The following is a 16,191-nucleotide window of genomic DNA, read 5'->3' on the forward strand; positions in this document are numbered from 1 at the left end:
AGGTTTAAAATCAGCTCAATGGGCAGGGCTGGTGGGGGGCATAATCTGGTAAGTCTGGTGCCCTCATAAGAGGGGGAAGAAATGACAGAGCTCACTGTCTCTTTCCACCACATGAGGACACAGCAAGAAGGTGGCCATTTGGTAGACCAGCTTATTGAAGTGGGAAAACATTTTTAAACAATAAAATAATGAAAAAAAAAAAGCATGGGCCTTGTGGGAAGAAAGCATGAACCAAAAATAAACTAAATTTTCCAGGTGACTGATGGACCCTCCCTTCAGGCAAGGGCATTCCAAAGTTAACCTGAAAAACGAGTTCAGGCCATGATGGGAAGTGGGGGTTGGACATGCCCCATTATACCCTCTTCCCATTGGAATTCAGGCACAGCTGACCAGCATTCACCTTAAAACAGAGACATGCCAGGCGTGATGGCTCACACCTATAATCCCAGCACTTTGGGAGGCTGAGGCAGGAGGACTGCTTGAGCCCAGGAGTTTGAGACCAGCCTGGGCAACACAGAGAGACCCATCTTTACAAAAAATAGAAAAACCTAGCCAGGTGTGGTGGCATGTGCCTGAGGTCCCAGCTACTTGGGAGGCTGAGGTGGGAGGATCACTTGAGCCCAGGAGGTTGAGGCTGCAGTGAGCTGTGATTGCACCACTGCCCTCCAGCCTGAGTGACAGAGTGAGACCCTGTCTCAAAAACAAACAAACAAAACCAGAGACCTTAAGACTGAGAGAACAGACTAAGTCTAATAAGAACTACAATCTATTTTCTCCAAAGCCTGCTACCTGGAGGCTTCACCTATATAATAAGGACCTTGGTCTCCACAACCCCTTATTTTAACCCAGACATTCCCTTCTATTGGTTCCAAGTCTTTAGATAAACTCTTCCAGCCAACTGCTATCAGAAAACCTTTGAATCTACCTGTGATGTGGAAGCCCCTACTTGGAGTTGTCCCACCTTTCTGGACTGAACCAATGCACATTTTTTTTTTTTTGTTTTGGAGATGCAGTTTCATCCATCATCATGCAATGGCACGATCTCGGCTCACTGCAGCCTCCGCCTCTCAGGTTCAAGTGATTCTCCTGCCTCAGCCTCCCGAGTAGCTGGGATTACAGGCATCCGCCATCACGCCTGGCTAATTTTGTATTTTAAGTAGAGATGGGGTTTCTCACATTGGTCAGGCTGATCTCGAGCTCCCGACTTCAGGTGATCCACCTACCTTGGCCTCCCGAAGTGCTGGGATTACAGGTGTGAGCCACTGTGCCCAGCCATATCTTACATGTATTGATTGATGTCTTATGTTTCCCGAAAATGTGTAAATCCAGACTGCAGCCTAACCACCTAGGGCACACGTCCTCAGGACCTCCTGGGGCTGTGTCACGGGCCATTGGTCACTCGTATTTGGCTCCGAATAAATCTCTGCAAATGTTTTACAGAGTTTGACTCTTGTCATTGACAAGAGGGTCTGATTCAGTTGGCATCTAGATCTTGGACTTCACAGCCTCCAGAACTAGGAGGAGAAAATATGTTTCTGTTTTTAAGCCACCTGAGCATTTTGTGACTGTAGCCCAGGCAAACTGAGGGAGGGCCCAATGTCTGGATTTGTAACAATTTCCCCAGGTGATTCCAATTATCAAGCAAATTTGGTCAACACTGTTTTAAACCAGTGCTTCCCTAACATGAATGTGCAGATGAATCACCTGGGGGTCTTGCTGAAATACCAACACCGGTCCTGCGGCCTTGGTTGGACCTTGAGTTTCTGAATTTCTAACAGGCTCCCAGGCAATGGCTGACACCACTGGTCTGTGGGCCACACTTTGAGTAGGAGACTCTGAAGTATGTATTTCAGAAAAAAGAAAAATTATTTAATAAGAACTGCCCAAGATGTAAGAAGAAAGATGCATAATGGAATTCATGAGGATAGGGGAAGATCTGAGTTAACATTGACCATATTAAATAGTAATGTTGCTGATCTGTGGTAGGTAAAAAGTAAGATAGAAACCAAATTCTTGGCCGGGCGCGGTGGCTCACATCTGCAATCTCAGCACTTTGGGAAGCCAAGGCTGGTGGATCACCTGAGGTCAGGAGTTTGAGAGCAGCCTGGCCAACATGTCAAAATCCCATCTCTACTAAAAATACAAAAATTATTTGGGCGTGGTGGTGGGCACCAGTAATCCCAGCTACTTGGGAGGCTGAGGCAGGAGAATCGCTTGAATCTGGGGGCGAAGGTTGCAGTGAGCCAAAATAGTGTCACTTCGCTCCAGCCTGGGTGAAAGAGTGAAACTCTGTCTCAAAAAAAAAAAAAAAAAAAAGTCCAGGAGCGGTGGCTTACCCCTGTAATCCCAGCACTTTGGGAGGCCAAGGTCAAGAGATCAACACCATCCTGGCCAACATGGTGAAACCCCATCTCTACCAAAAATACAAAAAATTAGCTGGGTGTGATGGCACGCACCTGTAGTCCCAGCTACTCAGGAGGCTGAGGCAGGAGACTCGCTTGAACCCAGGAGGCAGAGGTTGCAGTGAGCCGAGATCACGCCACTGCACTCCAGCCTGGCAACAGAGTGACTCCGTCTAAAAAAAAAAAAAAACCAAGTTCTTAACGGCAATAACATGTGAACAGGGTGGGTAGTGGTGCGAAGAGTTAAACTGTTCTAAATGCTTGTATTGTTTGGAAGAAATAATAGAGATATTGATTACTTTAATATTTAAGTTAAATAAGCATAAAAATTTAAGGTAGAGAAGTTCTGCTTTTTGCCGAGGACATCAAAAGCTGCAATTGAATATCATTTCCTTCCGTACAAGAAAAAGCCAAAGAAACTACAAAAAGCACAACTTTTTGGAGCCCATCCAAGACCTGAGGTCAAAGACAATCAGGTAAACAATTTCCGAGTGATAAGGCCCTCCAAGGAAAGGCCGGATATGTAAATTATTTCACTTTGGTCAAGACCTGAGAGTAAGAGATGTTCCAAGTGGGTCAGAAGAAATCAGCTAAAATTTTTCACACATTCTTACAGGCCCAGTGTGGGCTGCTACATGAGTTTGGAGTAGCCGGGAGCCCCCATCACGAAGAGGTTTTCAATCACTCCATGTTCTGTCCACGGCCTTTCCCAGATGCCGATGAGAAAGGCTGGGGCAGGTCTCAGAAGGCTGGAGAGAGCCTCCCTTGGTGGCCCAGGGATGGAGGCAGGGACCTGCTTTGGCTGAGACATGAAACTATACTCGTCTGGCAGGCAGCAAAAGCTTTAAACCACTGAGGCAGGTGTAACCCCTCTCACGCCCAGGAACCAGGCAAATCCCCTGTTCTGTAGGAGGGTCAGGAGTAAAAATCCCCGGCCCATGGAAGGGCAGGAGATCCTTGTGGGCCCAGAATCCTAGACTGACATCAAGCAGTCTCCTGCCTCTAGAGGAGGGGTGGGCAACTCAGGCACAGGGCGAAGCTTGGTTGACATGGGGATGTGGTAGGGATGCCAAGAGGTGCATCCCCAGCCCCAGGTATACTAGGCCTGCCTAAGCCTGAGACTGGGCCACGACACCAGAGAGCCCCCACCTCCAGCCCGAGCCTAGTACTGACCAGCAACAGCAACTCACCACTCACAGAAGGACCAGGGCTTGGGGAGGATGCCCTCTGTGTCATAGGCATCCAGACTGCTGAAGGCCAAGGCTGGAGCAGGCAAGAGGAGAGAACCGTCTGGTCCCCGGGCTGACTTCTCTAAGTGCAGGGAACAGGAGCTCATTGCTGGAGAAACGTGAGTCTGAGGTGCACTGTGGGTAACAACAGCAGTAGAACCCCCAGCCAGCTAACTCCTAACCAGAGGAATTCAATCCCTCACACTCACGCACTGATGGAAGAGGAGGTGTACCTGATTCTGTATATTAGGAAACCGTCCTGCATATACCATTTCAAAAAGACTCATATACCAAATGGTGCAATGTATTATTATGTAAAAATTTAAACACTATTCATGAGGCTCCTGATTTTATGTTTTGACAAATATTGGAGTCTGCAAAGAAGTATCTCAGACCCTCCCACAGCAGTGTATTGTGATGATGTTGCCAATAATACAGAATATTACTAATGACAGCAATAGCTCTTACGTTCTTAACAGTGTGTTCCAGGCCCAGTGCAAATGCTATTGATCTCAGTCTCTACTTGTATCGTCCATTATCACACTGCTAGAAAGAACTACCTGAAACTGGGTAATTTATGAAGAGAAGAGGTTTCATTGACTCCCAGTTCCTCAGGCTGTACAGGAAGCGTGGCTAGGACGCCTGAGGAAGCTTACAATCATGGCAGAAGGCAAAGGGGACGCAAGCACGTCTCACCATGGTGGAGCAGGGGAGAGAGAGAGCGCGAAGGGGGAGGAGCTGCACACTTTCAAACAACCAGATCTCGTGAGAACTCACTCACTATCACGAGAACTGCAAGAGGGAAATCCACTCCCATGATCCAATCACATCCCACCAGGCCTCTCCCCTGACACATGAGGATTACAATTTGACATGAGATTGGGTGGGGACGCAGAGCCAAACTATATCATTCTGCCCCCAGCCCCTCCCAAATCTCATGTCCTTCTCACATTTTGAAACCAATCATGCCTTCCCAACAGTCCCCCAAAGTCTGAACTCATTCCGGCATTAACTCAAAATTCCGAGTCCAAAGTTTCATCTGAGACAAGGTGTCTCGGGCCTAGTGGGCCTGTTTGGATTCTGGAGGCAGCACACTCCTCATCTGGGCGAGTTACTTCAGCCCATTTATCAAGTGATCCAAAAGGCTGCCAGTGTCGAGCGGGGTCCAGAACAGGAGCAGGCTCTGCAACAGGTCCAGGCTGCTGGGCAAGCTGCTCTGCCACTTGGGCTGTATGACCCAGCAGATCCAACGGTGCCTGGAGTGTCAGTGGCAGATAGATAGGGATGCTGTTTGGAGCCTTTGGCAGGCCCCTGTGGGTGAATCACAGCGGAGCCCTCTAGGATTTTGGAGCGGGGCCCTGCTATCTTCTGCAGTTAACTGCTCTCCTTTTGAGACAGCTCTTGGCCCGTTACTGGGCTTTGGTGGAAAGTGAACGTTTGACTACGGATCACCAAGTCACCATGCGACCTGAACTTCCTATCATGAACTGGGTGCTTTCTGACCCATCTAGCCATAAAGTGGGTCATGCACAGCGGCATTCCATCATCAAATGGAAGTGGTATATACAAGATCGGGCTCAAGCAAGTCCTGAAGGCACAAGTAAGTTACATGAGGAAGTGGCTCAAATGCCCATGGTCTTCACTCCTCCCACCCTGCCTTCTCTCCTCCAGCCTGCACCGATAGCCTCATGGGGAGTTCCCTATGACCAGTGGACAGAGGAAGAGAAGACTAGGGCCTGATTCACAGATGGTTCTGCATGATATGAAGGCACCACCCACAAGTGGACAGCTGCAGCACTATAGCCCCTTTCCAGGACATCCATGAAGGACAGCGGTGAAGGGAAATCTTCCCAGTGGGCAGAACTTCAAGCAGCGTACCTTGTTGTGCACTTTGCTTGGAAGGAGAAGAGGCCAGATGTGCGATGCGATTATGTACCGATTCATGGGCTGTAGCCAATGGTTTGGCTGGATGGTCAGGGACTTGGAAGAAGTATGATTGGAAAATTGGTGACAAAGAAATTTGGGGAAGAGGTATGTGGATTGAGCTTTCTGAGTGGTCAAAAACTGTGAGCCTGGGTGCTAGCCACAATCTGATAATGCCTCCTCATGATCTAAACTGTACGATAAAGAGAGAAGGGTTCACAGACCAGGTTTATACACGAGGGGCACTCCAGTCTTGGGGTTGGACTTCTGTAAAAAGCCAGATGTAAATATTTGAGGCTTTGTGGGCCACATACATGCTTCATCTCACCTGTTCAACTTTGCTGTCCTAGCAGGAAAGTAGCCATAGATGATACATAAATGAATGGGTCTGGCTGTGTTCCAATAAAACTTTATATACAAAAAGAAGCAAGGGGCCAGATTTGGCCTATGGGCCATAGTTTGCCAACCCCTGTACTAGAAAATGAATACAGTTGTTTTGGAGGAGTAGAATTCTAGGATGGACATGAGACTGTATTTCTCACTGTCATTTTTGTAAAAACATTTGATTTTATAAAAGAAAGTTTATAACTTTAAAAATAATTAAAACAAAAAAATCTAAGATAACTGTCGAAAAGATAGAAATACAAAACTTCCAAGTTAGTTGAGGGAAAATAGAGGAAATAATGATAGGTTGATCCAAAACAAGGCAAGAAAAGAGAAAAAAACGAATGAGACACACAAAACAACACAATAGGAAACACATACATTTTAGTTGTCCTGGTAATTATAAACCAACAAAATCCTCCAATTAAAAGATAGACAAACCCCCAATCCAGCCATACACGATTGAAAGAGACACATCTAAAGCTAAGGAGATGAAAAGTTTCAAAGAAAAAGAATGGAAAAAATAGACACAGCAAATGCTGAGTAGCTAGTACTCATGTCAGGCTCAACAGGATTTAAGGCAAAAAGCCTTGTTAAGTCAGAAACGGTGACTACACAGTTTCACGAAGTGAAAGATATATTAACTTCATATGTGTATCTTACTACAATATTAAATTTATGAAACTAATTTTATAATTCATACCTAAATTTGCGTTCACATAGTAATATCGCCTTAAATAGGTAAATTAGGTAAGATTTGATGTAACTACAAGAACGGGTGATTCTTTAGTGCAAGATTTTAGCATACACACTTCAGTACATGATTTTAAGAAATCATTTTCTTGATCTTTCCAAATCTTTCATTCTTTTGAGATCAAGAGAATGGAAAAAGAGCCAATATGTAGAAGACTTGATTGATCTAGTGGATGTAGATAGACACCATCACTCAGCATTTGGTGATTGAGCCTATTCCGCAGCACACAGGGCTTATTTATAAAATCGATCAAGTGTTAGCCCCAAAGCAAGCCCAGCAAATATCAAAGAAAGAACCACATAAATAATGGCATAAACCATGGTTTCTGACAACACAGTTAAGTTAGAAATCAATAATTTTAAAAAAGTAACTAAAAACTCATGTCTGGAAATTAAAAAAATTTCTAAATGACTTATAAGTCAATGAAAAAGTCATAATGGAAATGAGAAAATACACAGAAATAAATGATAATAACTGCTTAGAAAACCTTCCACAAACAATCCTGGACTGAGGCCAAGGTCAGCTGTGGGGTCATTCCTGGTGGGGGGTCTTGACGGGGAACAGAGGGCTCTGCCGCCCTGGAGGGAGGGGGTCCAGGGCCCGTTTCCACACTGGAGTGGGTGGAGGCAGGCTTTGCTGAGATCCATGGCACCGTGGGGCACTCCCGAGGCACCTGGCTGGGCAGGGAGGGTCTCTCTGGGATGGGTGGGCTCAGGCCCTTTGGCACGACCCAGAAGAAGAGAGGCCTCCTCCTACCCCACAGCTGGGGGTGTGTGTGGGGTCAGCCTTGTTTTATGAAAGCCTGGAAAGCAGGTGTTTTGAGCCCAGCAGGCTCTGAACAGAGCTTCCCTTGGGCTCTGGGTTCCTCAGTGTGAGTGAGCCTTTCCCTCCCCCACTGCCCACCGCCCATGGAGGTCGCAGGACCCCTCTGTCCCAGGGGAGACCCTAGAGGGCCAGGGGCTGCGGTCTGGGCAGCAGCCACACTGTACAGTGGCCAGCCATGCAGCCCCGGGCCGGGACGCCCTGCACATCCACAGGCAGCACCCACTTCTGCTTCACAGACACAGCCTCCCGCAGGGGTGGAGGGATGGTCCCAGGCAGTGCGCAGGGCTCCAGACATGAGGGGGCATTCTAGTAACACAGGCTGAGGCGCCCCATTGTTGGACCTGGGGTGCGAGGTCCGCCATGAGCTCTGAGTCCGGTGCCTGCCACGGTGGGAGCGCCCTACGCACCTGCCCCGGGGGTGAGCATTGCTCCCCGATGTGTGCGCGCTGCCCGGTCTCAGAGGGACCAGGGCTGTGCCTGCGGAGGGGCTGGCAGGGGCGGCTGGAAGGTGACCAGGTCTACGGGTGCCTGGGAGCCCCTGAACCAAGAGGGGAGATCAAGGGAGGGGCCGGCGTGGGGGCGGGGGGAGTGTTCCCGGGACAGCCGGGGGCGGGGGGAGTGTTCCCGGGACAGCCCGAGGTTCCAGCGAGCAGCCCTGGCCACGCCTTTGTCTCCGTGGGACCCCAGACTGGCCCCTTCCCGCCGTGGTCCCGTGACCTGACCCGGCCTTGAGCGGGGCGGGGGCGGCAGGACCCTCAGGTCTCTCCGCAGGATGGCAGCGGGGGAGTGAGGCAGCCAGGTGAGCCCGGGCGGCGGGAGGGACACGGACGCCGGTGGTCCCCAGCCGGGGCTGCGCGGCCAGGCAGGGAGGGGGTGGGCGGAGGGGCGGGCGACGGGTCTGCGCCCCCCACCCTCCGGGAGTCCGGCGGAGGCGGAGGCGGAGGCGGAGGCGGGCGGGTGCGGAGCTGCAGAAGCAGCGCGCGGGAGTCGGGGCCGGGGCAGAGCTTTCTGGAAGGGACCGCGGGCTCCCTGCAGGTCAGTGCCCCTCCCGCCGCCTCTGAGTCCGCAGCTCGGCCCCGGGAGCCCCTGGGTGCCCAGTGCAGACCCACCTGCCCCATCTGACGGGCGGGCTCGGGCTGGGGGCAGGCGGACCCTGCAGCAGGTGCAGCGGGGCGAGCGCGGAGAGCGGGCACGGGGACAGGCGGGGGCGGGGCACCCGCACTCACCTCTGCGGTCGGCGTAGAGGACACCCAAGGCCACCAGGGCAGCGGTCACCAGCAGCAGCAGCAGCAGCAGCCCCCCCTCCAGGAACCCCGGGCGCTTCTGCCCTGCACGGCCGGCGCTCTCCACCATCCCCACTGGGCCTTCGGACTTCCCCATCAGCAGGGCTCTGGACGGGAGAGCACCGCGGAGGAACCTGCAGGCCCAGGGCAGGGGAGAGGGGAGAGGGGCGTGGAGCTCCCCGAGCCCGGCCCGAGGCTGGAAGGGCCGGATGCTGGCTGGGAGCGGGCGCTGGGTGCCTTTGGAACACTCTTCCCGTCTCCCTCTCCAAGCTCACAACCCTGGGTGACTGGGTCCCGGGACTTTCCACACTACCCCTGGGCCGGAATCTCTGAGTGCATGGAGGTTCTAGGACTGGGATGCTCCCAGCTTGGGGTCGCAAGCTGGACCCAGGAGGCTCAGCTCCTGTGCTGTCAAGGGACTCCTGTAGTGGAGCCCCCCCCCTGGGCTGCTCATGCTGGTTGTCTTGGAGCTGTGGGCCTGAGCGCTAGGTCAGGGACGCTGTCGGGGAGGCCACTTGGGCTTCTGGGCTCCCAGCCCACCTTTCCTGTTGAAGCCCAGAAGCCAGTGATGGGCGACACCAGAACAGTAGGTACCCACACAGGCGGTGACTACGTGGGCCAGGAAGGGATCTGCAGGGCCAGGCAGGCTTGAGTCTCAACCCTGGCAGCCACCTGGCTGGTGTGCAGCTCTGGTCGTCCCCTGACCCTGTTACTATGGAGGGGACACCTTCTGGAGCCAGCAGGGCAGTGGGCAGCACTTGAAGACACACACGGCTGGGCACAGGCTGCTGCTGTAGGCAGGACAGGGAGCTGGGCAGGAAGGGTTGGGGCACAGGACACTGGACTCAGGAGGCTCCCAAGTCTGCGTGCTCCAGTGTGCGTGTATGTGTGGGAGTGTGAACCTGAGTGTACACATGTGTGCAAATGAGTGTGTGCATGTAGTTGGGCGTGTGCATGTGTATGACTGTGCGTGTGTGCATATGTTCTGATGTATGATCGTGTACACACACGTGTGCACATGTTCTGGTGTGTGCATGTGCATGACTGCATGAGCGTGAACGTGTGTGTGCGCTCTGGTGTGTGCATGTGTGTGTGTGCACGTGTGTGCGTGTGCTCTCGTGTGTGCGTGTGCATGATTGCGTGGATATGCACTGTCTACGCTCATGTGTGCATGTGTGTGACTGTGAGTGAGTGTGCACGTGTGTGTCCTCGTGTGTGCATGTGTGTGACTGCACGTGTGTGCCTGTGCTCGCGTGTGTGCGTGTGCATGATTATGTGTGCGGATATGCACGTGTGTGCGTGTACACTCGTGTGTGCACGTGTGTGACTGTGTGATTGTGCACGTGTGCGTGTGCTCTCATGTGTGCATGTGCATTATGTGGATATGCACGTGTGTGCCTGAGTGTGCACGTGTGTCCTCTCGTGTGTGCGTGTGCATGATTATGTGCGTGGATATGCACCTGTGTGCGTGTACTCTCGTGTGTGCATGTGTGTGACTGTGCATTGTGTGCGTGTGCTCTTGTGTGTGCATGTGCATGATTGTGTGCGTGGATATGCACGTGTGTGCGTGTACGCTCGTGTGTGCACGTGTGTGACTGTGATTGTGCACCTGTGCGTGTGCGCTCATGTGCATGTGCATGATTGTGTGTGTGGGTGTGCACGTGTGTGCGTGTGCTCTGGTGTGTGGCTGTGCATGTCTGTGTGTGTGTGCACATATGTGAGCACATGCATGGATGTGCACATCCCTCGCTGGCACTCGGAGCCCTGCTGGGAAGTTGCCCGGTCCTAGGGAAGCGGCTGGGTGCTTTGGCCTTCCAGCACTTTCAGTCGTCACACGCAATCACACACCTGCTGTGCTGAGCCCCAGCTTAGCCCTGTACCAGGCAGGGCGGATAATGTGGGAGCAGCGAAAGGAAGCCAGGCCCAGTCCTGCCTGTGGGTGGGTCAGGGACTGGCTGCTGAGACTGCCAGCACCTGGGCTAAATGTGCTTCCGCCCCCCTGTACCCCACCGCCCCCCTGCTGTGGACTTTGCCTGAGTTCTGTCCCTGACTCCCTGGGAGATCCTAGATGTCCCTTAGCCTGTCTGGGCAACACCCTGCAAAGGTGGCTGGGCCAGCTCATTTCAGCGACTCCTCCAGAGATCCCTGACCTCTGGCTGTGTGAGGAGCGGGGACGGGGACCTGGACCTCACTCCTCTCCTCCAGGTCCCTCGCTCCTCCCTTCCTGTCCCCTCAGCCACCTCTCTCAGTCCCTGGCTCTGTGAACCGCAGCGTTCATGCATCCACACACCCTCAGATGCTTCCTTTGACGCCCTCTGCTGTGCCCCTAGACACCCCTATCCCGCCACTGGCTGAAGCTGGACTTTGGAGCCATCTGCCTCCCTTGCCTGCGTCCACACCCCGCGCCAGTCCTCAGCCTCCAAGCCCATCTCAGTCGGACCCTTTCTCATTCCTGCCACTCGCTGCCTGTTCCAGGCCCCACCAATCACCTCCCCCTGAGGGGTCTGTCTCACCCACTGATCCCCACCACAGGGGCCCAGGGGCCTGTAACTAGAATCAGAGGCCGTCACTCCCTGGCCCCTGGTAGCCAAACCCTTGGAGGAAGAGCCGGGCCTTGCCCTGATGTCAGGACCCTCTTTGGCCCTCCTCCCCTCTCACTATGCCCTCCCCTTACCCTCAGGCAGGCCCACCAGGTTTCTCCCCCCACCCTCCCCACCCACCCAGGCAGGCCTCCCAGATTCCTGCCAAGCTCCCCTTCCCAGTGGGGCCTTCCTTGGCTCGGCCTCGGGTTCAACTCGGGGAGCCCCAGCCCCTCCCCTGCTCTGTGTCTCTCCAGGGACTCCCAGCTCCACCTCCACATCTCCTCGATACTTCTGCAGCCCCCTGGGAACGTCAGCTCCACGGGCAGGGGCACCCTCTGTGGGGGCCGCTTCACCTAGACTGGCACCCCCACCCCAGAGACCTCGGTCATTATCTGTTGGGTGAATGAATGAATGAATGATGAATGAATGGATCAATCATTTGGACAAGTCTGAGCTCAGCTTCCACGAACTTCTTTCTTTGGTCAGAATTAATGAATCTGCTCCTGCGTCCTGAATTCATTCTGTCCTGCAGGTATCCACAGACGGCTCCATGTGCCCCACGGCACACACAAAATAAACACCTTCAAATTGAGCCAAGTACCCGGGGCAGGTGTGGAGTGTCTGCTGAGGCGAAGGCACTGCGGCTCCCTGGGGACACTCGTGGCCTCTCCAGGTTACTACAGATGGGGGACAGCGGGTCCTTTGGGTAAGATAAACCGTATGCCAGAGGGGGCTGCCTGCCCTGGCACAGGCGAGACTGCACACAGGACGCCCTGCCCAGCCTCCTGAGAAAGGGGCTGAGCGCCTGGAGAGGGTTTCAAGGCCCAGGAGAGGGCCTGGAGAGGGTTTCAAGGCCCAGGAAAGCAGGCCGGGTACCTTCCTTCAGCACAACTCACCTTTGCTCACTCAGGAGTGGCTGCCGCCCACAGTCAGGCCCCTGGAGACTGGGTCCCAGTGGGTTGGAGTTGGGGTGAGCTGGGCCAAGTGGGTGGATTTCCAGGGACTGGGATGGGAGAGCAGTGGCTTGGGGCTGAGTTGAGGCTGCCTGAAGGCTTCTGGGCCTCCTTTGTGATGCAGGCATGGGCTCCCTGGAGGCGGTGACTCCTGCTCACAGTCAGGAGGTTCCACTGGGGGTGTGGCATGGGGGGAGGGGCTGAGGGCAGCTTCTTGGCACCCGGGCTGCCCTGCCTCATGGGTGCCCTTCTCAGGGCCTCTGGCCCCGCCTCCCAAGCCGCCCTCCTTCCTTGCTTCTGTCTCCTGACCTTTCAGTCCAAAGGGGCCCCAGGGGCTGCTGGGAGGAAGGTCAGGCCCTTGTCCTACTCCACACCCTCTGCTCTGCCCCTAACCACCCGGTGGGGGGTTACAAAGGCCCCACCCTGGGTGTTCTTTCTCTTCAATCTCCAAGGAGGATGGTGGGTTCTGGGGATCTTGCCAAGGTGCAAGGGGAAGGGGTGGTCCTGAAGGGGGTGGGCGCTGGCTGCCAGGAGGGTCCCACCCAGAGATACTAGCCTGGGTTTGGCTGCTTCCCTCTGCCCACAGAAAACTCATGAGGTTCAGACCTCAAGCTACAGAGGGTGGGCAGCCCTGGCCGGGGAGCTGGCAGAAGGGCTCTGTGGCTTCTGAAGGGTTCGCAGTGATCAGAGTGTGAGCCCTGCACCCAGCCCTGCTTGCGGACGGGGGTTCTGGGCAGAGCAGTCTCTGTCTGATTCTCCAGGCCTGATGAGGTTTCTAGCTTCTGTTTCAGAATCCCCAGAACGAGTCCTCCTGCCCAGGCCTTGGGCATGTGTCAGGGCATCTGGGCAGGGCTGGGCCACAGAGCTAGGGGTCCCACGGCAAACTGCTCCTCACGGCCGCCCCGGCCAGGTCTCCCACGCTGAGTGCTGTTGGAAGCTTTGTCTATGGCCCTTTAGGTTGGCCAGGCCCTGGGAGGAGAAAGGCTTCGAGCTGCAGCCAGGCTGGGATCAGATCCCAGACACCACCCTGAGCCCGGGAAGTCTCTCCCTGGGGCCCGCTGGCTGTCCTAGCAGCCCCCTGCCATCACGCCCAGCAACCAGCCCAGGAGCTGCAGTCTGGCCTCAGGCTGCCTGGGTTGCTGGCCCAAATGGAAACAATGTCAAGGCCAGCCAAGCAGGAAGCTGGGACCGCCCTTTCTGGGGAGCTGGGAGTGGGCCAGGGTCCAGCCTGGCTGGAGGCTCCTGCTATGGGGAGAGGCCAGAGCCTTTCCGAGCCCACCTGCCCGACAGCCCTGGTGCCAGCAGGCCCTTTCTGGATGTCACAGTGTTCTTGTCTCTAAGGTACAAATCCACAGAGGGAGAAACAGATGCAGGGGCCTGGCCTACTCTCAGCAGGGGCTCCCTGGACTCTGAACCGACTCCCCAAGGCTGGCCCTGTGCATGCTCCTCCTTCCCGAACCCCAGGCCTGTCCAGCCCAGCAGCCCCCAGCCTGGCCCAAGGCCACCTGGTGACCTGGGCTGCCAAACTTGGGACCCCTTATTCCCAGGTTCTCCCTACTTCTAGGTGACAGCAGGAGGCTTGGGTCCTAGCCTGGCACCTGCCAGACAAGAGAAACTGGGAAAGGAGGCTAAAGGCCAAGGAGGCTGCAGACCCCGAGACCTACCCCGGTCACTGGACACTCACAGATTTGCAGGTGCCCAGGGCAGTGCAACCCAGCCGCCCCAAACACCTGCACAGATGACTCTCTCCCCAGACACCCGCACAGACCGTCCCCCCAGACACCCACACAGACCATCCCCCCAGACACCCACACAGACCATCCCCCCAGACACCCACACAGACCATCCCCCCAGACACCCGCACAGACCATCCCCCCAGACAACCTACACAGAATAAACTGTCCCCCCAGATACCTACACAGACCATCCCCCCAACACCCACACAGACCATGCCCCCAAACACCCACACAGACTGTCCCCCCAAACACCCACACAGACCATCCCAACACCCACATAGACCATGCCCCCAAACACTCACACAGACTGGCCCCCCAAACACCCACACAGACCATCCCCCCAACACCCACATAGACCATGCCCCCAAACACCCACACAGACTGTCCCCCCAGACACCCGCACAGACCATCCCAACACCCACATAGACCATGCCCCCAAACACCCACACAGACTGTCCCCCCAGACAACCTACACAGAATAAACTGTCCCCCCAGACACCCACACAGACCATCCCCCCAGACACCCGCACAGACCATCCCCCGCAAATACCTGCATGGATTGTCCCCCCAGACACCCGCATAGCCAGAGCCCAGCACCCCGGAGGTGGACATTAATCCCATCTCCTAGGGAGATTGGGGGAAAATGGGTGTTCCCTGCCCCTCCTACTCTCTGGGTTGCTGTGGGATGTGGAGATCCAAGGAGCAGCCCCAGCTCAGGGGTCCAAGGAGGCAGGTGGGACGGGGGTCAGGGAAGTGCTTCCTGCAGCAGCCCTGGGGCCAGGGTGGGCCTTGAGGGCACTAGCCTTTGTCCACACTGCTGTGGGGCTGCCCTCACCCAGGTTGCCGTGTCCACCCTGCCTTGGGGGCTGCCCTCAGGCCCTGGAGACGCCTGCCTGTGACTGCCCCACACTCTCAGGCCAGGCTACTGGTGGCAGGTCCTGTGCTTTGGTGCACCCCAGACGTGCCCAACGGGCATTTCCTCTGCCCATTGGGAGCAGGGCCTCTCCCTCAGGTCTGCCCAGCTACGCTCTGGGCAGGAATGAGGTGCCCCACTTAGAGAAGATGCACAGGTCAGAAGAGGCTCACCAGCATTTCTGGGTGAGCCTCTTTCCGGCTGCTGGGACGACAGCCGGGCCTCTGGGGTCCCCACCTTCCTTGTCAGCTGCCTCCTGAAGTCAGGCCCTGGGTATCCAGGGCAGGAGGGAAGGGGCCCAGTGGTCCCGCTGCCCCAAAATCTGTGTCATTGAGCCACCAGCCCATCCCCAGTAGCTGGAGCCTCTGCCTCCTCACTTGTGAATTCCAAAAATCTGAGACAGGTCTCAGCCAATTTGGGAAGTTTATTTTGCCAAAATTAAGGATGCACACCTGTGACACAGCCTCAGGAGGTCCTGACATGTGCCCAAGGTGGTCAGAGGACAGCTTGGTTTTATACATTTTAGGGAGATATGAGACATCAATCAACACATGTAAGATAGAGTTACATTCTTTTGAGTTTCTGATGAGCCTTTCCAAAGAAGGCAATCAGATATGCATCTATCTCAGCGAGCGGGGGAATGACTTTGAATGGAATTGGAGGCAGGCTTGCCCTAAGCAGTTCCCAGCTTGACTTTTCCCTTTGGCTTAGTGATTTTGGGGCCCCAAGATTTATTTTCCTTTTACTCTCCTAAAAAGGTTTTTTTTTTTTCTTTTTTTTCCAGATTGATCGCAGAGTTGAACAACAGAGAATGTGTGCACAGTGCCAGGCACAGGTGTGGTCAAGATTCACCTGGGAGAGGAAGTGGGCAGGGGCAGAGGAGTGTGCCCACCTGAGCTGAAAGGCTGCATGGCAGGTGACCATTATCACCAGTGTCGCCAGCCAGGTCACCTCTCTGAATTTTGTGGTTGCAACCTCCATGATTCCCTAGAGCTGTTTTTACCCAGAACTAATGAAAAATTCTGCACATTAAATTCATGCTATTAGAATCACTGTTGTGGTTTCCATCTCCCAAGTAGACCCCAACTGATACATAAATTCATACTAGGAGGGGGTCCCCAGAGACAGGCCCTCAAAGTGACACAGTCAGGTACCTCTTTGGTCACTTTGCCAGCCAGGTACCTCTGGCTGCTGACACCCCCCCTCC

General features: G+C 54.5%; 1 protein-coding gene and 1 long non-coding RNA gene across 2 annotated transcripts in view, besides 3 other annotated features; one reads left to right on the plus strand and one right to left on the minus strand.

The window, feature by feature from the left end:
* MMEL1 (membrane metalloendopeptidase like 1) overlaps positions 1-12,429 on the minus strand; it is a 42,378-nt gene extending 29,949 nt beyond the window's left edge. The window contains exons 1-2 of the mRNA NM_033467.4: positions 12,279-12,429; positions 8,744-8,934 (exon numbers count right to left, since the gene is read on the minus strand). Coding sequence (NP_258428.2) covers positions 8,744-8,897 — 154 coding nt within the window. The 5' untranslated portion in view covers positions 8,898-8,934; positions 12,279-12,429. The remainder of the gene's footprint in view (positions 1-8,743; positions 8,935-12,278) is intronic.
* Positions 4,736-4,985: a silencer, noted in NCBI's record as "fragment chr1:2556762-2557011 (GRCh37/hg19 assembly coordinates)". NCBI's record gives its function as "represses an EF-1alpha promoter that drives an FKBP-Casp9 reporter gene in an ReSE screen in HepG2 liver carcinoma cells {active_cell/tissue: HepG2}" and the evidence as "EXISTENCE:reporter gene assay evidence [ECO:0000049][PMID:32094911]".
* On the plus strand, positions 8,169-16,033 carry MMEL1-AS1 (MMEL1 antisense RNA 1). Its single transcript, NR_183343.1, has 3 exons — positions 8,169-8,316; positions 11,915-12,088; positions 15,769-16,033. It is a non-coding gene; the product is annotated as an MMEL1 antisense RNA 1 (long non-coding RNA).
* Positions 8,683-8,977: a silencer, noted in NCBI's record as "tiled region #11692; HepG2 Repressive DNase matched - State 20:ReprD, and K562 Repressive non-DNase unmatched - State 10:DNaseD". NCBI's record gives its function as "represses a minimal TATA promoter and a strong SV40 promoter by Sharpr-MPRA in HepG2 and K562 cells {active_cell/tissue: HepG2 | K562}" and the evidence as "EXISTENCE:reporter gene assay evidence [ECO:0000049][PMID:27701403]".
* Positions 10,159-10,659: an enhancer, noted in NCBI's record as "H3K4me1 hESC enhancer chr1:2562185-2562685 (GRCh37/hg19 assembly coordinates)". NCBI's record gives its function as "activates a minimal SCP1, AML or CMV promoter by ChIP-STARR-seq in primed H9 embryonic stem cells {active_cell/tissue: H9 hESC(primed)}" and the evidence as "EXISTENCE:reporter gene assay evidence [ECO:0000049][PMID:30033119]".
* Positions 16,034-16,191: the final 158 nt, after the last annotated feature.

Source organism: Homo sapiens, chromosome 1 (genome assembly GCF_000001405.40).
Source record: "Homo sapiens chromosome 1, GRCh38.p14 Primary Assembly".
NCBI lineage: Eukaryota > Metazoa > Chordata > Mammalia > Primates > Hominidae > Homo > Homo sapiens.